Source organism: Homo sapiens, chromosome 5 (genome assembly GCF_000001405.40).
Source record: "Homo sapiens chromosome 5, GRCh38.p14 Primary Assembly".
In the NCBI taxonomy this organism is placed as follows: Eukaryota; Metazoa; Chordata; class Mammalia; order Primates; family Hominidae; genus Homo; species Homo sapiens.
The window spans coordinates 175193276-175214128 of NC_000005.10; the positions used below are offsets into that span (position 1 = coordinate 175193276).

At 43.7% G+C, this 20853-nt stretch overlaps 1 annotated feature.

The window, feature by feature from the left end:
* Window positions 2391-2685: an enhancer, noted in NCBI's record as "tiled region #8865; K562 Activating non-DNase unmatched - State 3:PromF". NCBI's record gives its function as "activates a minimal TATA promoter and a strong SV40 promoter by Sharpr-MPRA in K562 cells {active_cell/tissue: K562}" and the evidence as "EXISTENCE:reporter gene assay evidence [ECO:0000049][PMID:27701403]".

Consider the following 20853-nt stretch of genomic DNA (forward strand, 5'->3'; position numbering starts at 1 on the left):
CCCTGAGTGGTAGTGCAGGGTTGTCGGTGGGCTCTAGGACCTATCAAGCTCTGGATCAAATCTCAGCTCTTTCATTTGTCACCTCTGCAACTTGGAGAAATTCTTTATTCTGAGTTTGTCTCCCATTTTGTAAAATGTTGAAAGGATAATATTCCCTCGATAGGACTACTGTGAAAATTGCTTGCTAGAAAGGTTGCTGCAGATTATACTCTTGCTAGCAGTATATGAAAAGTACCCATTTTCCAGCATCTTATGCAAAGGTATCTGGTTTTTAAGAAGCTGATAAAAGCCCAGGAATGTGCAGATATTTTCACCACTGACTCTGAAAACTGACAAAAGAAAAATCAGAGATTAATTTGTTTCTCCCCAAGTTATCGTATATAAATAACCACTTTGCTACAAATTAGTTGGAGACGAACTTTCTGCCTCAAAAATCTAGCACAAGGACTTTATGCTTTATTTTGACAAGTGAATTTAAGACAGTATTTGCAGCTTCATACATTTATTCTAATTATTTCAGCGTGTTTGTTTTTTTCTTCATGTTTTATATAGATACCAAATTTAGCTACATGCTACAGACAAAATTGCTGCAGAATTCTGATGACATGTATATTCCTACTACTGTCCTCTCCCTCAACAGTTCTTAGAGAATAAGAGAGTATTGGCTGGAAGATGGGGAATTAAATAGGATAGGGGTCACATGTGTTATATTTCGAGGGACCAGTTTGTTCCATGAACCTTCATGCCAAGGCCTCTGTATGTGGGGCCCCAGTGCTGAATAAAATTTTGATCCTCTAGATTAATAAGGCAGGGTCTCTGTCCTTGAGAATCGCATCTAGTGGAGGAAGCAGGCTAGAAAAGAAAGGTTTGCTAGGGAATGCCATGAGGCTAACAGAGATGTAAAGAAGCACAGAAGACGGCCCCACTAAATAGAAATCAGAGGAGGTAAAAAGGCAGCTTGAGCTGCCAGGTCCAGCAAGTGAGGGTAGACAGCTCCAGGCAAAGGATACAGCATGGGCAAAGGATACAGCATGGGCAAAGGCAGGGAGGCATGAGAGTTCACAGTAAGCTTGAGAAAGCCAAGAATCTAAAGTGGTTAGAATCCCGTGTGTGTGTGTGTGTGTGTGTGTGTGTCCATGTGTTTGTAGAATATGGCTTGTAGAAGAGGCAGGGCAGGGAGGTCAAGGCCAGGTGGATGAACTGACTAAGATGATTAAAGAGCGTGGTTGACATACAGAACCACATGCATCAGGCTACAGGCATTGGAGAGTCACTGACGTTTCTATCCAGAGGAGAATAGGATCTGTTTGGCATTTAGAAATATCATAAGGATAAGTTTCCATAAGGAGGATGGTGTCCAGCAAGGTTTGGTGATAGGAAGTCCATTTCAGAAACAATAAGGCCAGAACCAGGCCTTGGTGGTGGAGGTGGAGAGGTGGAGAAGGCTGTGGGAGGCACATAAGAAATAGAATTGACAGTTCTTATTGAGTGACTGGCTGTAGAGAACTAGGGAGAGAAAAAACTTAAAGTTATGCCCAGTCTCCTGGTCAGGCAGCCCAGAAGGAGGGAGGCAATGGAATCTTTCTCAACAGTGGAGCCTGGGGAACCTGGGGCCGTCCACGTGGCCATGCCCATGCCGTAGAGGGGGTAGGGGCTGGAGGTAGTGACTGAGTTGCAGAGAGATGGTAATAGAAGCCTTGGAAAAGAGGCCACCCCAAGGCAGGTTGTGTGTGTTGGTGGAGGGGGTGGGGGTAAGGTAGAGGTCACAGGAGGTTTAAGGGGCTCATTAAGGGAAGCTCTTCTGTCTGTGATTTGTGTGAGAAGCATCAGGAGCTGCAGAGTAGCAGAATATGCCACCCCAAAATATGCTACTTTGGCATAAGAGTTATTTTGAACTAAAGACATTTAAAAAACAGAAGGTGCAGGAAGGGCACTGTGGCCTCCTCCTTTCTTCCTGAAAGGGGGAGAAGAAATTTCCTTGTGAAAGGTGCCGTTTTTATACCAGGCAGAAGAAACATTCTTATCACCAAAGACAAGGAATCGAGGCAAAGAGAATTCCAAACACAGAGACCTTGTCAAAATCACTCTCCTACCTTCCTTCAGTCTCCTCATATATCTTAGTTACTTTCCCACAACTGTCTCTCTTTGCTCCACCGAGGATATTAGCACTTAGGTTTGCCACTTCTTTGGGTCTTCATTTCCTTGTGAGGGTTCCCGTGTCACCTAAAACTTATATTTACACCTTCTGCTTTTCTCTTGTTAATCTATCTTTTGTTACAGAGCCCCAGCCAAGAACCTAAGATGGATAGAGAAAAAAGTTTTCCTCCCCTACAAAGGCAAGGATAGAAAGGCTGCTCTATGGCATCAGGGATGCTTCTGTTTTGAAATAAAATGTATAGAAGCCAGAAAATATGTCCTTGGTTCTTCTCCCCAGAGACTGCACTGGACTCTGTTGCAGGCTTTTCCCTCCTAAGCAGAGGGCGGACACTCCAGGGCAGAGGGCGGAGATGCAGGTCTCACTCGGATCCTATTTCCATCAAGCTGCATAAATTTCATCATCAGCTCAATCCCACCATCACGAGTCTCTCTTGCCTGAGAGAGGAATTGACTTTTACATGCATTCTATCTTGTTCAGCAAATGGCTGTTAACTTGCCGGAGTGCAAAGTCCTTTCCTGTGCCCTGGTGTGAGTTCTGACTTCCCTGGGAACATGCGTAGAAACAGTTAACCCCTTCCTGTCAGTTCCACTGCGGCCCTGAGGATGTTGGATGTTTACCAACAGGGCACGAATGTGAGACAGTCTATCATTAACTTAGGAGAAGTCTTCAGATCCCCATTGCTTCCAGGAGGAAGAATAGGGAGAAATCAGAAGACTTCACAGGCTGCAGACAGTGGTGGTCAAGAGTTCAGTGGTCACACTGACTTCCCTCTCATTAGCCGTGTACCCCTGGGAAAGACGCTCCTTGCCTCTGTTTACTTATCTGCAAAATGGGGAACAGTGCTTTCTACATCTCAGTGTTGTTAAGAGAATTTAAGTGAGTATATTTCTTATGGGAATATAAAATGTACTAAGAGTTTTAAGGTGGGCAAATATTAGCCTGGTGCAAAAGTAATTGCAATTTTTGCCATTACTTTCAATGGTGAAAACCGCAATTACTTTTGCACCAGCCTAATAAAAAAAGGAAGAACTGACTGTAAATTAGCTGAGTCATCTGGACAACAATGCTGAGAACATGAACTTCCAAAGCCAATTGTGTGTGTGTGTGGCTTCTTTAATATCCAAGTCCAAGCCATTCCTAATTCAAATGCTTAAGAGTTTCACAAATATATAGATTTTGGTCAGGTGTGGTGTCTCATGCCTGTAATCCCAGCACTTTGGAGGCTGAGGTGGACAGATCGTGAGGTCAGGAGTTTGAGACCAGCTTGACCAACATGGTGAAACCCCGTCTCTACTAAAAATACAAAAATTAGCCAGGCATGGTGGCACGTGCCTGTAATCCCAGCTACTTCAGAGACTGAGGCAGAAGAATCTCTTGAACCCAGGAGGCGGAAGTTGCAGTGAGCCGAGATCATGCCACTGCACTCCAGCCTGGGCAACAGAGCGAGACTCCATCTCAAAAAAAAAAAAAAAGAAAGAAAGAAAGAAAGAAAAGAAAAGAAAAAGAAAAAGAAAAAAAAATATATAGATTTTTCTGTCTTGGTGACTTTGGGTTGAATTCTATTTTTTTCCTTAGCCAGATTCCTATAGTCATTTTTCTTTCAAATTTGTAGGCAGTTAGAAAACTAGAAGAAAATGAACAAGGGAGAAATTACATAAAGAAGCTCATTATGGTGGGGAAAAGATAAAGTGGGTGATTAGAACTGGACACTCAGTGTCTAGGCTGAGTCTACCCCTGATCAGTCTCATGTCTCCAGACAAGAGCCTGGAGTCAGAAAAATTATAGCTGGAAAAGGCTTTTGAAGCCATGATATCCAGCTGCCTCCTTCAGGACAGGAGGGAGAGACTGAGGCCCAGAGAGAGGATACAAGCTTTCCTAGGTGGCCCCGTCAGCAAGTGGCCAAGCCGATACTCCACTTCAGGTTCAGATGCTCTGGCTCTAAATGGGGCGATTGATATGTAGCCTCCCTAGCCTTCAGGCTGTATATCACAATTGTCAAATAGTTTATTAACTACACAAGCCTCAAGGGCCTCAAGTGTGCTCTGAAGACACACATGCTGAGATCTGAACTTTGGCTGCAGCAAGTACTAGCCGTGTGAACTTGATCTTAAACTTTCTGAGCTTTTATATTCTCATGTACAGATTCAACGAGATACATACAGATAGGATAATAACAGATGGGATAATGCAAACAGATGGGATAATATATACAGATGGGATAATAATATGGGCCTACCGCACCATATAGTCAAAAGGACAAAATGAAATCCCACTTACAAAGCACTTAACACAGCAGCTGACACGCAGAATCTGCTCAAGGGATAGCTGGTGTTTTCGTTATTGTTACATGTAACCTGATTTAATGAATATTTGCTGAGTGCTTACTTGAGTCCAGGGCATGTGGTGTGTAGCTGGGAATTCAGGGAGGGGAAAATCTGACCCTAACTTGGAGAAAAGGGGATGGTGGAGAGAATAGTACATAGTTCATGCATGGCAAATTCTAGAGAGAGAGATCTGAGAGTAAAAGGGAGTGAGAAGAGAGGGAGTACTTCTAACTGGCAAAGTCAAGAATGGCTTTCAGAGGAATGCGGTGTTTGTGATGGCCCTTGAAGGATCTGTAGCTTTGGGGCAAGTACATGTATTTGGGGTAGGTAACTGTGGTTGCTTAAAAAGGGTAATTTCAGGTAAAAGGAACAGCATTGATCAAAGGCATGGAGGGTGAAAACAGCCATGGCAATAATGAGAAGTTTCAGGCTGGTTTGGATGCTGTTTGCATGAATCAGTGCCGATTCATGCAGCCAGGGTCTGCAATGGAGCAGTTATTGTCCTGTCTGCCCTATATCCAGTCTCCCCCACCCCGCCCGCTGCTCTGATCACTACATTCTGCTTTCCCTTTCCTCTCTGTGTGCCTGTGGTTCAGGTGGGGCTGACTCTGGCCCCTAGAAATAGTAATTGGTTCAAAAGTGGAAACATGACCTGTGCTGGGCCAATGAAGATCTTCCCTGGGACTTTTGCTGGACCTCTTGGGAAACAGGCTTTCTGTTTCCATGGGGGTTTAGCTAGTAGTGTGGAAGCTTGGAGCTGCTGGTTTCCATCTTTGCCACCACTTGGGACAGCTGCATAGAAGTACCCCCACCACAGAGGAGAACAGGACTGAACTCTGGAGAAGAATTCTGGTGGTGTTTGCGAGATATGATGCCAGCTGTACTCTAGAGCTTTCAGTTGTGTGAGGCAGTAGAATCCTCTTTATTTTTTCTTTTGCTAAAGCCTATTTGTATTGGTTGCCACTAAAAGAATTCTGATTGAAAAATAATATTAATAACAACAGCAGTTGGTTTCTAGTGAGCATTAATTACATGCCAGGTGGTGTTTTAGGAGACTTATAAGTAATAATCCATTACTCTCACAAACAACAGCAGGTGCTAGTTAAAATCCCTCTTTTACAGGTAAGAAGCACTAAAGCCCAAAGAGGACAAGTAACTTGCCTGATATCTCATAGCTAGTAAGTAGTGGAGCTGAGATTTGAAGCCATGGCATTTATGCTCTTACCAGCTATGCTATATTAACCCCCAAGATTGGCACAATGGTTTCCTTCAATGAACCAGTGGTCCCTGGATCCTTCACGCTCTGATTCTGCCCAACTCACCTTATTTGTAGCATGTTATTCTGAGTGTAAGAATGTCCACGGTTACCACCCTTTCTTTAATAGTCTTAACTGCAGTAGAAAATTTCATAGAACTTTGATTTTTAGTCTTAAAGCCCTTTGCCCTTTTTCTCCCAGGAGGCCTAATAGGTCTTTATGAACAGGGGACCCCCAGTGGCCACTCAAAATGCCTCTCTCCAGATGTAGGTTTACACCACAGTGTCCCCACATTATCCTACTCAAGAGTTTCCTGCTACAGCCATGCATGACTCTCCCACAAGGCTGAAAACTTTAAGGACATCAACCTTAACACAATCTGATAACTGCAGACAACCCGAGTAAAGTGGTTGTTTGGCTATAATGCAGTGAGCACTTCTGTGCCAGGTACTGCCATCAGCACTTTCCAGGCATCAGCTCTGGATTTGAACCTGTCTGCCCCTACATCCAGTGCTCCAACTTCATACTGAACTCCAGATCACAAAAATGTCCACGGAAAAGCACAGCCAGAATAATGAAATAGACTGTCTTCTTTTAGAAGCTGAAGGGAAATAAATTTGAGTTTGGGACACAGAAAAGGAATCTGAGATCGTAAACTGTGGCTAGTAAATGTGCAGCCCACACTAGGAACTGAAGTTTCATCTAAGTGGGATGAAATTGAGGATATTTCATGTGAATGGGAGGGGAGGGGAGGGGAGGGGAGGGGAGGGGAGGGGAGGGGATGGAATCAAAGCTAATCAAGTCAAACTGAAAATGATGACAGAAAATGGTGAAACCCTGTCTCTACTAAAAATACAAAAATTAGCTGGGCGTGGTGGTGGGCACCTGTGGTCTCTGCTACTCAGGAGGCTGAGGCAGGAGAATTGCTTGAACCTGGGAGGTGGAGGGTGTAGTGAGCTGAGATTGCACCACTGCACTCCAGTCTGGCAACAGCAAGACTCTGTCTCAAAAAATAAAATAAAATAAAAATTTAAAATAAACAAATAAATAAAAGTGCTACTCCAGTGAACACACAAATAAAAAGAAAGTGAAACAGCCTTATTGCTGTTATGGAGAAAGTTTTACCAGTCTGGATAGAAGATCAAACCAGTCACAATATCCCCTTAAGTCAAAGCCTAATCCAGCACAAGGCCCTAACTCTCTTAAATTCTATTAAGGCTGAGAGAGGTGAAGGAGCTTTGGGGAAAAAAAGTCAGAACCAACCGCTGTGGTTGGTTTATGAGGTTTAAGGAAAGAAGCCACCTCCAAAATAAGAAAAACAGCAAGTGCTGATGTAGAAACGACAGCAAATTATCCAGAAGATCTAGCTCAGATCATTGCTGAAGGTGGTAACACCAAACAACAGATTTTGGCTATAGACAAAACAGCTTTGTATTGGAAGAAGATGCCATCTAGAAATTTAATAGCTAGAAAGGAAAAGTCAATGCCTGGCTTCAAAGCTTCAAAGACAGGCTGGCTCTCTGGTTAGGGACTGATGCAGCTAGTGACTTTAAGTTGAAGCCAATGCTAATTTACCATTCTGAAATTCTCAGGGCCCTTAATAAATATGCTAAATCTAACCTGTCTGTGCTCTATAAATGGAACAACAAAGCCTGGGTGATAACATGTCTGTTTACAGCATGGCTTACTGAAAATTATAACCCCACTGTTGAGACCTACTGCTCAGAAAAAGATTTCTTTCAAAATCTTACTGCTCTTTGACAATAGGCCTGGTCACCCAAGAGTTCTGATGGAAATGTACAAAAAGATTAATGTTGTTGTCATACTTACTAATGCAACATCCATTCTGTAGTTCATGAAAAAGGTAGTAATTTTGACTTTTAAGGCTTAAATGGCATTTTATAAGGCTATCGCTGCTATAGATAGTGATTGCTCTGGTCAATCTGGGCAAAGTAAGTTGAAAACTTTCTGGAAAGAATTTACCAGTCTACATGGTATCAAGAACATCTGTGATTCACGGGAGGAGGTCAAAATATCAACAGGAGATTAAAAGAAGTTGATTCCAACCCTCATGGATGACTTTGGGGGTTTTGAGACTTCAGTGGAGAAAGTAACTGCAGATGTGGTGGAAATAGCAAGAGAACTAGAATTAGAAGCGGAGCCTGAAGATGTGACTGAATTATTGCAATCTCATGAGAAAACTTCAACAAATGCAAAGTTGCTTCTTATGGATGAGCAAAGAAAGTGGTTTCTTGAGATGAAATCTACTGCTGCTGAAGATGCTGCGAACATCACTGAAATGACAACAAAGGATTTAGAATATCACATAAGCTTGGTTGATGAGGCGGCTGCAGGGTTTGAGAGGACTGACTCCAATTATGAAAGAAATTCTACTGGTGGGTAAAAAATTATCAAACAGCATTGCATGCTATAGAAAAATCTTTCATTAAAAGAAGAGTCAATCTATGTAGCAAACCTCGTTGTTGTTTTATGTTAAGAAATTGCCACAGTCACTCCAGCCTTCAGCAACGACCACCCTAATCAGTAAGCAACCATCAACACAGAGGCCCTACTCCACCAACGAAAAGATGATGACTCACTGAAGGCTCAGATGATCATTTAGAATATCACGTAAACTTAGTTGACAAAGCAGCTGCGGGGTTTGAGAGGACTGACTCCAATTATGAAAGAAGTTCTAGTGGTGGGTAAAAAGTTATCAAACAGCATTGCATGCTATACAATGTTTTTAGCAATACATACTTTTTGACTAAAATATGTACCTTTTAGATATAATGCTATTGCACACTTAATAGACTACAATATATTGTAAACACAACTTTTACATGCATCAAGAAACCAAAAGCTTTGTGTGATTCACTTTATTTCAATATTGTGGTGGTCTGGAATCAAATCCACAATATCTCCAAGGTATGCCCGTATCTATGCACATGTATATAGATATGGATATAGCTAGATATAAATTGAAGGGGGGTTTCATAAAATAGTATTGATCCATACTACCCAGAATGTACTCTATTCTCTAATCTATATATTTTATTCTAGTCTAATCTTATTTTAATTACTTTAGTCTTGAACACATTAAATTAGTTTTATTCCCCTTGAGTAGGTTGAACTTGTAATACGGAAAGCCCTGTTCTGCTGGAAAGGGCTCTCGGCGGGCCTGAGGTTGAATCCCAGTACTTCGTATATTCCCTATGCAACTTTATGATCTTTCAGAGTCTCAGCTGCTGCATCTGTAAAATGAGGGTGATACCTCCTCTGCCAGGGCCTTGAAAGGGACAGATGGCATTGCACCTGTAAAGGTCCCAGTATAGTGGGATACTGAGCAAGAAGTCCTTAGCATCACCAAACTGTAAGAGCTACGTTTGACCCAATGCAATAATTCCTGATTCTCTTAACATCAAGGAAAATGGAAGGGGGAGGAAACATTCCCACTTCTCTCGCCTCTCTGTCTTAGTTCCTCTTGGTGCATGGTGGCCAGTCCAGCTGAAATGTGGCATTTCCAGCACAGGAACCGTTGTTCATCCAGGTTATGGTTGGAGGTTCATGTTCCCCAGGCATTCCTCAGGCTGCCCTTCTGCCCTGGGATCATTTCAGAGAAAAGCAGCGTCTCAGGTAATTAATCACTGTGAGCCAGGGCCTGTCTGACTCATGTCAGGGAGCAGGCAGCATGCCAGGGAGAAGCCATTATTCAGGATTAAAAAGCTCTGACCTGCCAGGGAGCAGAAAGACAAGCCAGCTGCACAAGCTAGAAAATGGTCTGGTAAAACATTGAACATAAAAAGGAGCAATGGAGACCTAAAGAGATATCCAAGGCTATGGACTCAAACAATCTTCTTTCCAAGTGTTTTGGCCATTTGTTCATCTGCTAACCCATCCATTCATTCATTTCAATACAAGTGGGCACCCGTCATGTTTTCCAGCCCTGCTCAGGCTCTAAGGAGACCAAATGAATAAGATGGAGCCCCTGCCTTTGAGGAACTCACAGTACAGGGGGCCACAGAGGGAAGTGAACAGTTATGGTGTATCAAGATGAATGGCACCATGGCTTGGCTATCATGAATAAAGCCTCAATGAGCATGGAGTGCATATGTATCTTTGGGATACTGATTTTAATTCTTTCAGATGTAAATCCAGAAGTGAGATTTTTGGATCATATGGTAGTTCTATTTTTAATTTTTTGAGGGACCCATACTCTTTTCCATAGTGTTTGCACCATTTTACACTTCCATCACTATGCAGAAGAGTTCCAATTTCTCCACAACCCAAATGTCCATTAACAGACAAATGGATAAAGAAAATGTGATACAGAGCCAGGTGCAGTGGCTCATGCCTATAATCTCAGCACTTTAGGTGGCCGAGGTGGGAGGATCACTTGAGGCCAGGAGGTCGAGACCAGCCTGAGCAACATAGAGAGACATCACTACTAAAAAAAGAAAAAAGTGATATATACATACAATGGAATATCATTCAGCCTTAAAAAAGAAAGAAATCCTACCATTTGAGACAGCATGGATGGATCCTGAAGACATTATGCTAAGTGAAATATGTTAGTCACAGAATGACAAATATTGGATGATTCCATGTATACGAGGCATCTAAAATAGTCAAAATATAGAAGCAAAAAGTAGAATGAGGGCTGCCAGAGGAATGGAGAATTGTCGTTCATGAGTACAAAGTCACAGACAGCTAACAGTACAGTATTGTACAGTTAAAAATTTGATGAAGATAGATCTCATGTTAAGTATTCTTACCACAAAAATAAATAAATAAAAGCAAAGGGACCCAAGGAAACTTTGATGTGATGGATATGCTTATTGCCTTGATTGTGGTGATGGTATCACAGGTGTTTGGCAATGTCTAAACTCACCAAATTACATACACTAGATACCTGCAGTTTTTGTATATTGATTATACCTCAATAAAACTGTAAAATTCTGAGACGGTAGAGAAGGAAGAAGTGAAATTATTACATGCCAAAGTTTTTATTACATCAAGACAAATGATAAAATATGTTATCCTGATATTTGCAATTACAGAAAATATATTCAATTGTATGTTCTGTACTTTGCAAACTTTCTCACAATGAGAAAGTTTAAGGTCAGGCACGGTGGTTCACACCTGTCATCCCAGCACTTTGGGAGGCTGATGTGGGAGGATCGCTTGAGCCCAAGACTTCAAGACAAGCCTGGACAATGTGGTGAAACCCCATCTCTACAAAAAAAAAAATACAAAAATTAACCAGGCATGTTGGCACATGCCTGTAGTCCCAAATAGTCAGGAGGCTGAGGTGGGAGGATCACCTGAGCCTGGGAGTTTAAGGCTGCAGTAAGCCAAGATTGCGCCTCTGCACTCCTGCCTAGGCAACACAGTAAGTTCCTGTTTCAACATGAAAAAAAGTTTATGTCAGAAAAATAAACAGTAACTGCAAATATTAAAACATTAAAACAGAAAAGCAAATGATTACTCTCATACTTTTTAACACTCTGTATCATTTATCCATGTGCTAACAATCTGCCAGAACTTTTGTATATCTTGATGTTTACTTTTTTCGCTGCCATTTAACCAGATTGCATGATGATATAAACCTTAAATCATTCGGGGTGAGGTGATGAATAGCATAGAGACCATGGGGACCCTGCGGATGGGGTGACTGTCTTGTTCTAAGAGAACAGTGGAAGACAAGATTATCAGGGGAGAAGAAAGAAAAGGGGAAATCCAGGCAGAAGGAACAGCCCAGGCAAACTTGAAGGAAAGCCGGTGACCCAAAGGCAGACTGACAGAGATGGCGTTTGAAAGGGAGTCCAAGGAAAAGGTGGCTCAGGAAAGAGAGGTTGGGGGAAATTATGAAAGACTCTGAAGGGCAGGCTCAAGGACATCAGCTCCACCCTGCAGGCAATAGGGATACATCAAAGGATTTGTAGGAGGGGGTGACAATGCCAGATTTGTGATTTATAAAGAGTCTCCAGAGCAGAGGTGAATGCACTAAATAGTTTGCAGACAGGGAAATCATTGTGGATGCCGTCCAAATAGGAGAGTATGAGGAACTAGGGAAATTTGAACACTGACTAGATATTTGTTTATATCAAGAAATTGGTGTTAATTTTTTCAGATTTTAAATTTTTGTGCATATGTTTTTAAAAAGTGAGTCCTTATATCTTAGAGATATATTTATGAATGAAACGATATGCTATCTAAAATGTTTTTCAAATAATCTGGGTATGGGGGTACAGGACTTTGAGTGGAAGTAATAGATGATAGATATAATAGTAATAGAAGTAATTAGCTCTGAGTTGATCATCACTAAAGCTGAATGGTAGAGGTACATTGAAGTTCATTCTATTATGGCTCTACTTTTGCTTATGTTTGAAATCTTCCATAACAAAATGTTTTCAAGATAATGAAGACTTAATGGAGAGAAGACAACAGAGTGCTAAGATATCTAGAGTAACTATTCTGTTCCAGAGGGCCTTGTGTGTATTCATTACCCTCACAGGCACAACCGTCCTATGACCCAGACAGTATTAATGTGCCCTTTTAACAGATGAAGAAACTGAGGGTCAGAGTGTATGGACCATACTTAATGGAACACCGGTACCAACTGGTGGAGTGAAGATGGTAACCCAGTCGGCGTCACAGCGCTCGCTCTTTCATATGCTCTAGGTTATGGGCGTGACACAAACTGTCACTGCTTGGTGAAGGCCTGAGTTGGGAAGAGAGACATCACAGTGAAGAAAAGGATACAGGCAATAATGTAATAAATTATACAGTTATGTCAGAAAACGAGAGAAATAAAGGAGAAAAAGTACATAAAAACTGCAGTGGCAGGAGATAGACTGGGGCAGGGAGACGATGGAGAAAGAAAACCAAGCAGGCTGTTGGTGAAACACATTCCAGGAAGAAGGAGTGAGCGGCAAGTCCATTTCTCAGGTGTGAGCCTGGGTGGTGTGTCCGACAGCAGAGAGCCAGCACGGCCGGGACTGAGTGGGGAACGGAGCGAGTACGGGAAGGGGAGGGTAGAGCTCTAGATCCTGCAGGGTTTGGGATCCACGTTCAAGACTTTGGCTTTTACTTTGGCTTTTATTCAGAGTGAGATGAGGTGTCTTGCAGGGTTTTTGTGAGCAGAGGAGAAAGGTGGAAAAGGGAGCACACTCGGCCTGCCTGCTATGCTTTGAAGGGCCTGCTCACATGGTTGGTCTCTCACTGGCATCTGGGAACTTAGATTTGGGGCAAGTTCCCACCATCCTCTGATAGGGTGGCCTGTTGTGCCTAAACTGTTTTCTGCAATGTGGCTTAGCTGAACACTTGTTTTCCATCTGAGTCTGGAATTTGCATATGTGCCAGGAAGGGAGTGCTATCATGACCAGTCCCCGGTAAAAATAAAACCTCTGGGCACCGGAGTCTCTAACAAGCTTCCCTGGTAGAAGACAATATTTTGTAACTTATTGCCGGGGGCATTAAGGACGTCCTGTGTGACTCCACTAGGCGAGACCCCTTGACAGCTGGAGCCTGCTTTCCTGTGGACCTCACCCCATGCACCTCTTCCCTTCGCAGATTGTGTTTGGCATCCTTTTCTGGAAAAACCATAGCCATGAGTGCAACAATCTGCAGAACCTGTGAGTCCTCCCAGGGAATTGCTAAACCTGAGGGTGGTCTTGGGACCCTGAAACAGGAGTGATTTATCTGCCAAGCTTTAAAGGGATCCCTCGGGCTGCTTGTTGAAGGGGAACTGGGCAGTGCCAAGGAGACCAGGAAGGAATTTGTTGCACACAATCCAAGCAAAAGCTACTGAGGGCTTAGACCAGGAGGTGGGGGTGGTGAGAAGAGACAGGACCCTGGATTTATAAATATGAGAACTCGGAGGCAGGCAGAAGTCATGAGCAAAGCATGTGACAACGAGGACTGCTGAGCAGAGGGCTGTCCTCACTCATGAGTTTTCATTATACCAGTCCCGTAGTATGACAGGGACTTTGTGACAGACACCCCTTACAGGTTCCAGGAGGGTCTGTGGCCCATCCTGCAAATGCAATTTTCAAGAATCTCTTCCCCTCATCTAGCATTTATTTGCAGAGTTCAGCCCAGGGGAGAATCTCCTTCCCTGAAAAGGCAAGTGTAACTTACAAGACTTAGGTGCCCTTGAATCCAAGATTGCGGGTTTCTACTAAAGAAGATGCTTAACCAGCTCGTTCCTGCTTCCTGACCTTTGCTTCCAAGAGTTAAAAGAGGACATAGGTTTTGTTGTTGTTGCTGTTAGAAGTTTTCAAGGACAAAAAAAAAAAATGCCTTTTTGGTTGAGAGTACAGCTATCGTGGGCTGCTCCTGCGGTGGAAGAAAAAGACATCTCCTTTTATGACTTTGATTCCACAAACTTTCCTGAACTCTACATTTGAAATAGCATATTTCAAGGCAGGTGAGTGGATGGGTGTGGAGGAGGAAGAAGCAAAAGACAAAAGCAAGCAAGCTGGGTGAGTTTGGGGGGAACCCGTTCACAGAGCGCTCTCCGCGGTTTTCAAGTTGAGGAGTGATATTATGTTAACCTATGTTCTAATTGCTCAGCAATAAACAACGCCCCCTCACAGTATAAACGTCAGGATCAAGACTATTTCTAAATCTGCTTTGAAACAATGTCAGTCACCACGAAGAGCAGAAAGAGATCGAGCGCTTTTGTTAGCATAAAAAATGTTTAAATATATGACTGAGGGGTATTCGTTACTGCAAGCAGCAGAGCTCGGATACAATGGGGAGTGGGAGGACAGGGCTGTGCTTAGGTGAGACTGTTTGCCTGCTGACTGCTCAGGAGGGAGGGCCGACTGATTGATATGTGGATGACACTCGTCACCTACTGCAGAAAGTGTCACAAAGCAGGTAACTGCTGAGCTGCAGATGGCACTGGGTACTGGGGAGGGGAGAACTCCGGCCTTTCAAACAAAAATTAAGGCTGGTGGAACGACTTTGAACGTTCTTGCCCACCAAGTCAGTCAGTCAGTAGAAATGTTAAGAACTGAAGTTAAAAATAAAATAACCAGATGCTCTGGCCGGGCGCGGTGGCTCACGCCTGTAATCCTAGCACTTTGGGAGGCCAAGGCAGGCAGATCATGAGGTCAGGAGATCGAGACCATCCTGGCTAACATGGTGAAACCCTGTCTCTACTAAAAATACAAAAAATTAGCTTGGCGTGGTGGCGCACACCTGTAGTCCCAGCTACTCGGGAGGCTGAGGCAGGAGAATCGCTTGAACCTGGGAGGCAGAGGTTGCAGTGAGCTGAGATCACACCACTGCACTCCAGCCCGGCGACAGAGTGAGACTCCATCTCAAAAAAAGAAAAAAAACAAAAACAAAAACAAAAAAATACTGGATGCTCTGTTTTAATCAGGGGCTGGGAAAGTCTTGAAGCCTGACCATGGGAGTGTGGAAATAACGTGGGTTTGGAAGCCTAGCAATCTGAAACCTTCTCTTCCCTTCTCCTTATCTGTGTGTTATCAGGCAGGCACTCAATTTCTCTGAGCCTTGGTTTACTTGTGTTTAATAAATGAGGATAATTGTATCTACCTCTTTGGAAAACATACCAAAGAGGTAAGTCTACCTCTTGAGTGGACATGAAGAGCAATAAACTAATGTATGTCAGAAGGTACATGAAAGTCTCAAATATAGGCACCTAATAGATGCCACCATAAGAACCTGAGCCAGTTGGATACTGCCAGAACTTCTTAGTCTCCTAGAGTGCAGCGGGTCACCCTAATTCCCAAAAAGCTACACAAGTATCTCGACTAATCCCAAGAACCCTGCCCTGGCATATCCTTGCAGGCTGGAGGGAGACCCCAGTGAATGGCTGGAAACTGATCGTATCTCAGGTGCTGATGTCAAACGTCTGAACAGGGCAGTGATTCTCCAAAACAATGGCTGCCTTTGGTTTCAACCTCCTCCTCACCTCAAATGGGGGTGCATGGAACAGTGAAGCTTAGTGGTTAAGAGCATGGACTCTGGACTCTCACAGACCTGATTTCAGTTACAGGCTTTGCTGTTTCTAGCTGGGCATTCCTATGTAAGTCACATAACCTCTCTGAGACTGTGTTATCTGAATAAATATGGCAGGGGAAACAGACCTATGTGACTCACTGGGTATCACTAACTCCACCATTCCTCCCGATTTTGAAAGCACAGCCATATAGATTAAGTAAATAAATTTTATCTGAGGTAGGAAAGGTTGTTAGAACCTGACCTCAAAAGTGATGCCAACCTTAGATTTTGAAGCATGTTCTTTCTCACTTTAATAAGATCCTCTTCTGTTGCTATTGTCATATGTGGCCAAATATTTTATTATAGATATCAGTAAGATATTGTGCTCTTCAACAATGGAACCCCTGAGGAGGGCTGGAGATGGAAAATAAATAGAACTCATGTTCTCCAACTAGCAGAGCTTTTTCCTAAATCCCTGAGCTCTGTTCATCTTAGAATCATTGTGTGTATGTGTGCACCTGTGTGTGTGTAAAACAACATTATTTATATGTGGATGTGCACATTAAGGACCATCAAAATAGAGCCCTTTCCCTAGGGAAAGAATATTTTTCTGATGGGCTCCAAAGTGTTGGTTAGAAGCCATTGGCCTTAATTTTCCTGATGTCACTCAGGTCTCATGGGCAGGACTTGAGAAGCATGACCTGACCCCTAAGGAACGTGCTAGATAACAATGCGTTTGCATGTCCTGTGGATGGTGTAACAGCCCTAGAGTAAGACACAGACCATCTTCTCCTCATGCACAACACTGACAAGCCCTTCCACTCCGCTCACACAGGACAGTGCAGAGCACCTGGGTGAGAACTAGGAAGCTCTGTTATGAAGCTCTGGGAAGCCTCCACTATCCCCTATGGCGTTCAGTGCCGTGAAGGTGATTGTCTCTCTCTCCGAGACATAACAGAGATGGCCACCAATAGGTTAACCTATTTATATTAGTCTATTGGGGCTGCCATAACAAAACACCACAAACTGAGGAACTTCAACAACAGAAATGTATAGTCTTGCAGCTCTGGAGGCCAAGAGTTCAAGATCAAGGTGTCAGCAGGGTTGGCTTCTTCTGATGCCTCTCTCCTTGGCTTGTAGATGCCACCTTCTCTCTGGGTCTTCACATGGCCTTCCCTCTGTGTGTGTGTCATAATGTCCTCTTCTTATAAGGACACTAGTCGCATTAGATATGACCTCATTTTTTACCTCTTATAAAAACCCAGTCTCCAAATACATTTACCTTCTGAGGTACTGGGGCTAGGACTTTAACATGTGAATTTGTGGAGGTGGGGACCCCTATTCAGCCCATAACACTCTCAAAGTGAAATTCTCTGCTTTCTTTTGAAGGACGTAGTCATTGGATAGGTGAGAAAGGACATCTGTGTGGCATTTCTGCAGTTGCCTGAGGGTTGGGGTCTGTGGCGGGGGTTTGTGACACCTGGGCAATAAGGAAAGACACTGAGTCTGGAAAGGTGGGAGCCCTGCCAGCTTAGAGCAACAGACCCCAGAACATAAGGGTTTGTACTGAATGGGGAAGTTCTACAGTCTGACCTAAAGCAGCACGAACTGGGGCTGAGTGTGAGTTATACTGGAGGAGAATGGCCAAGGTCAGGATCAGAGGGGAAATCAAGTGTCAGGGAGAACCCAGGTGCCAGGACCCAGGAGGAAAGCAGCAAGAGTGAGGCCAGATGGGTTGAGGCTGAGGGGTCAGGAGAGAGGCTTGGGAAAAGGAAGGGGAGTTGGCCCTTTCTAGTGGGATGTCTCTTGGGCAGATTGGAGAAACGTTGGCTGCTCTCAATATTCAGGAAGAGGTTGCACAACATCAGAGTAGAGGAAGAGTCAGGTTTAGGGAGAGGCATGGGGAAGGGTGAAAGACTTGTGGTCATCGGTTCTCCACAAGAGACAGCAAGTGAGGGGGGCCTGTTGGTGTTCTTCTCCACTCGACCACTCTAGCAGGCAGTGGAGGAGGCCTCCAGCAGTGTTCTAGTGCACTGATAATCACGCTGTTTGTGCCCTCCTCCTACGATCCACACCCCTCCACCCACCCAGCATGGTCGGACATGTGTGATCCAGAATCACACTAAGAGAATGAACTTCGGGGAAGCATGAATAGGAAGAAACCCTGAGAGGCCAACCGTACATTAAGGGTCATGGGCAGGCACACCTGGGTTCAAGTCCCACTGCCTGTATAATATTGAACAACTGACCTCAAGTCTCTGAGTCACATTTCCTCACGTCTCTGAGTCACATTTCCTCACCTATAAGATTTGGATATGACACTGACCACTGACTCTATTCAAGGAGACTTCCAAAGCTCTCATAGCAAACAGAAATGCTTTCAGTTGTAGCTAAGAGAATCACTGACCAAAGGTTGCTTAAAAAATAAAGTCAATTAATTATCTCACCTAACCAAAAGTCTAAAAGTGAGAGGCTCCCGGTTTAGTCAAGGAACTTAATGACTAAGACACATCTTATTTCTTCTTCTCCACAATTCTCAGCATTTTGACTTGTTGCCTGATAGTCACAAGATGGCTGCTGCTACTCCAGGCATCATGTCCTCATACCAACAACCTAAGCAGGAAGGAAGAGATGAGGCAAAAAGCTTTCTCTTGGGAGACCTTGTCTTTTATTTCTCCCCTATTTCAAAGCAAAAGGTTTCTACTTCAAAGACCATTTTCTTAACACTACAATATAGGATTAATGTGAGACAATTCTATCATGCATAGAAAAATGTCAGGCAATCAATTAAGTGTTAGTTCCCTTTTTGGGAAGGAAATATAGCAAGATCCCAGGTTCTAAAATCCCACTTCTCTTTCTGTGCCTCAGTTCCTTCAACTGTGAAAAGAGAATAAAAGTAGTTAAGCAGTAAGTACTCTATAAACATTCACTTTTCTCATTTTGATTATTTTTTTCTAGCCTGTATATATTCTAGGCTCAGCCTGAGTTTGAGAATTCACCTTTCAGATCCAAGTACTAGTCAATTAACACATTCAGTCTGGCTTTCTGCAATATTGCTTTTAGAAATAGTGTTTAGTAAAGATTCGTGCAATGTGTCAGCAGTTCTTCAATCTTAGAGATGTGAGGGGATGCCAGCAGTAATTATCACCTAGTTAGGCTCCTGTTAGAACTAAGGATACTTTAATTAAGTGGATGAGTAATCTGATGCCTCCTTAGAAAATGGGCATTTAATATGCAAATAAATGATTATTCATCGCCAGGAAACATGTTGTTTTATTTGCCCCTGCTTGATAGGTTTGCTGCTGATGAAAGAGTTCCTTTGCACTGGGCTAGTATACAACCAACCATCCTTCATTAGCAACAGTCCTGGGACTGCCCTGTACCACGCACTGGGGAGCCGGGAACGGGGAAACCTGCTCCTTGGAGGAGATCATGGCCTAGAGGGGGATCAACATTGCTGCAAGCAACTTCCCACTAAGTTGCTAAGGTTGGTAATAGAAGTGTGTGCTCCGAAGAGAAACAGCTCGGAGGGGGAGTGATTAACTGCCCCTGCTCAAAGCTGGGCAGTGGGGCGGGGTCAGAAAGGCTTCCCAGAAGGAGCTGATGTATGAGCTAGGAAAGGGATTTCCAAGGAGATGAACAGGCACATGCAAATATATAGAGGCTGGAAATAGAATTGGGATTTGAGGAAACTATATTCAGTTGGTGAAAACAAAGTTGGGAGGGGATGTAGCAAGAACCAAGGCTACTGTAGCAGGGCCAGATGGCAAAGAGGTTTGTTCTACGTAAGAAGGAGTTGGAGGCCGGGCGCGGTGGCTCACACCTGCAATCTCAGCACTTTGGGAGGCTGAGGCGGGCAGATCACGCGGTCAGGAGATTGAGACCATTCTGGCGAACACGGTGTAGGCTGGAATGTAGTGGCACAATCTCAGCTCACTGCAACCTCTGTCTCCTGGGCTCAACTGATCCTGCCACCTCAGCTTCCCAAGTAGCTGACACTACAGGCACACACCACCATGCCCAGCTAATTTTTTGTAGACATGGGGTTTCGCCGTGTTGCTTAGGCTGGTCTCGAACTTTTGAGCTCAAGTGATCCACCGGGCTTGGCCTCCCAAAAAGCTGGGATTACACATGTGAGCCATCGTACCCAGTCGATACACCCATTCTTAAATGCCCAGCACTTGCATTGTCTCAGGAAGCAACTGGGAAGTTGTTGTGTGAAGAAGGGTAAGGGCTTACAATGAGGCCAACCTGGATTCAGTGCCCACTTTATACATAAGAAAACTGAGGCTTAATTTGTAATTAAGGCCAAAAAGAACAACCACTTTCCTGGGGCTTGTCCTATTGTCACCGTCATTTCCCTTTTCCCCTTATGCACTCCCCTCCCTTCCACCCATCCATTCCTGCTTCCTTCCCTTCCTTCCTTCCTCCCTCCCTTCTGTCCTTCCTCCCTTCCTTTCTTCCTTCCTCCCTCCCTTCTGTCCTTCCTCCCTTCCTTCTTTGCTCCCTCCCTTCTTTCCTTCTTCACCATCAGGATCTCACTTATTCTCCCTGTGTGGTCTCAGATAAGTGGAGGACAGGGGACCTTAGTCCATCTGACTCCCAAGGCAGAGGTCACAGATGCCTTGTTTGGGTTTTGCTTTTGTAATTGTTTATCTGTACATCCTTTTTCTTTTCACATTCCCACAGCTTGAGTGTGATTATTCAAGTCAAAAACAGTTGGAGATATCAGGTTAATAATACAGAAAGTTTCCTGGCATTCAAAATCTGACTGTGTGTGTGTGCCTATGCTCATATGTTGTGTTTTCAATTAAGCTGCATTTTGAGGAGCTAATCATGACACACTGATAACATCTACCTGGAGAACCACAGCTTCATAGCTGGCTTGGGGCAGTGAGGAGCTGTATCCTATAATGGTCAGGTGTATGCATTTTTTGAAAGAACCAAAGACCTAGGTTCCAATTTCAATTCTACCATGATAGAAAGAGGTGTCATCTTTCTGTGTGGTAGGTCTGACATCTATAAGCTAGGGATGATATTGCCTACATCACTGGCTTGCCATGAGGATTAACTAGGCCTGTGAGTATGACGTTTCTATTGCACAGTAATATGGACTAGTATCTTCATCAACTTCTGT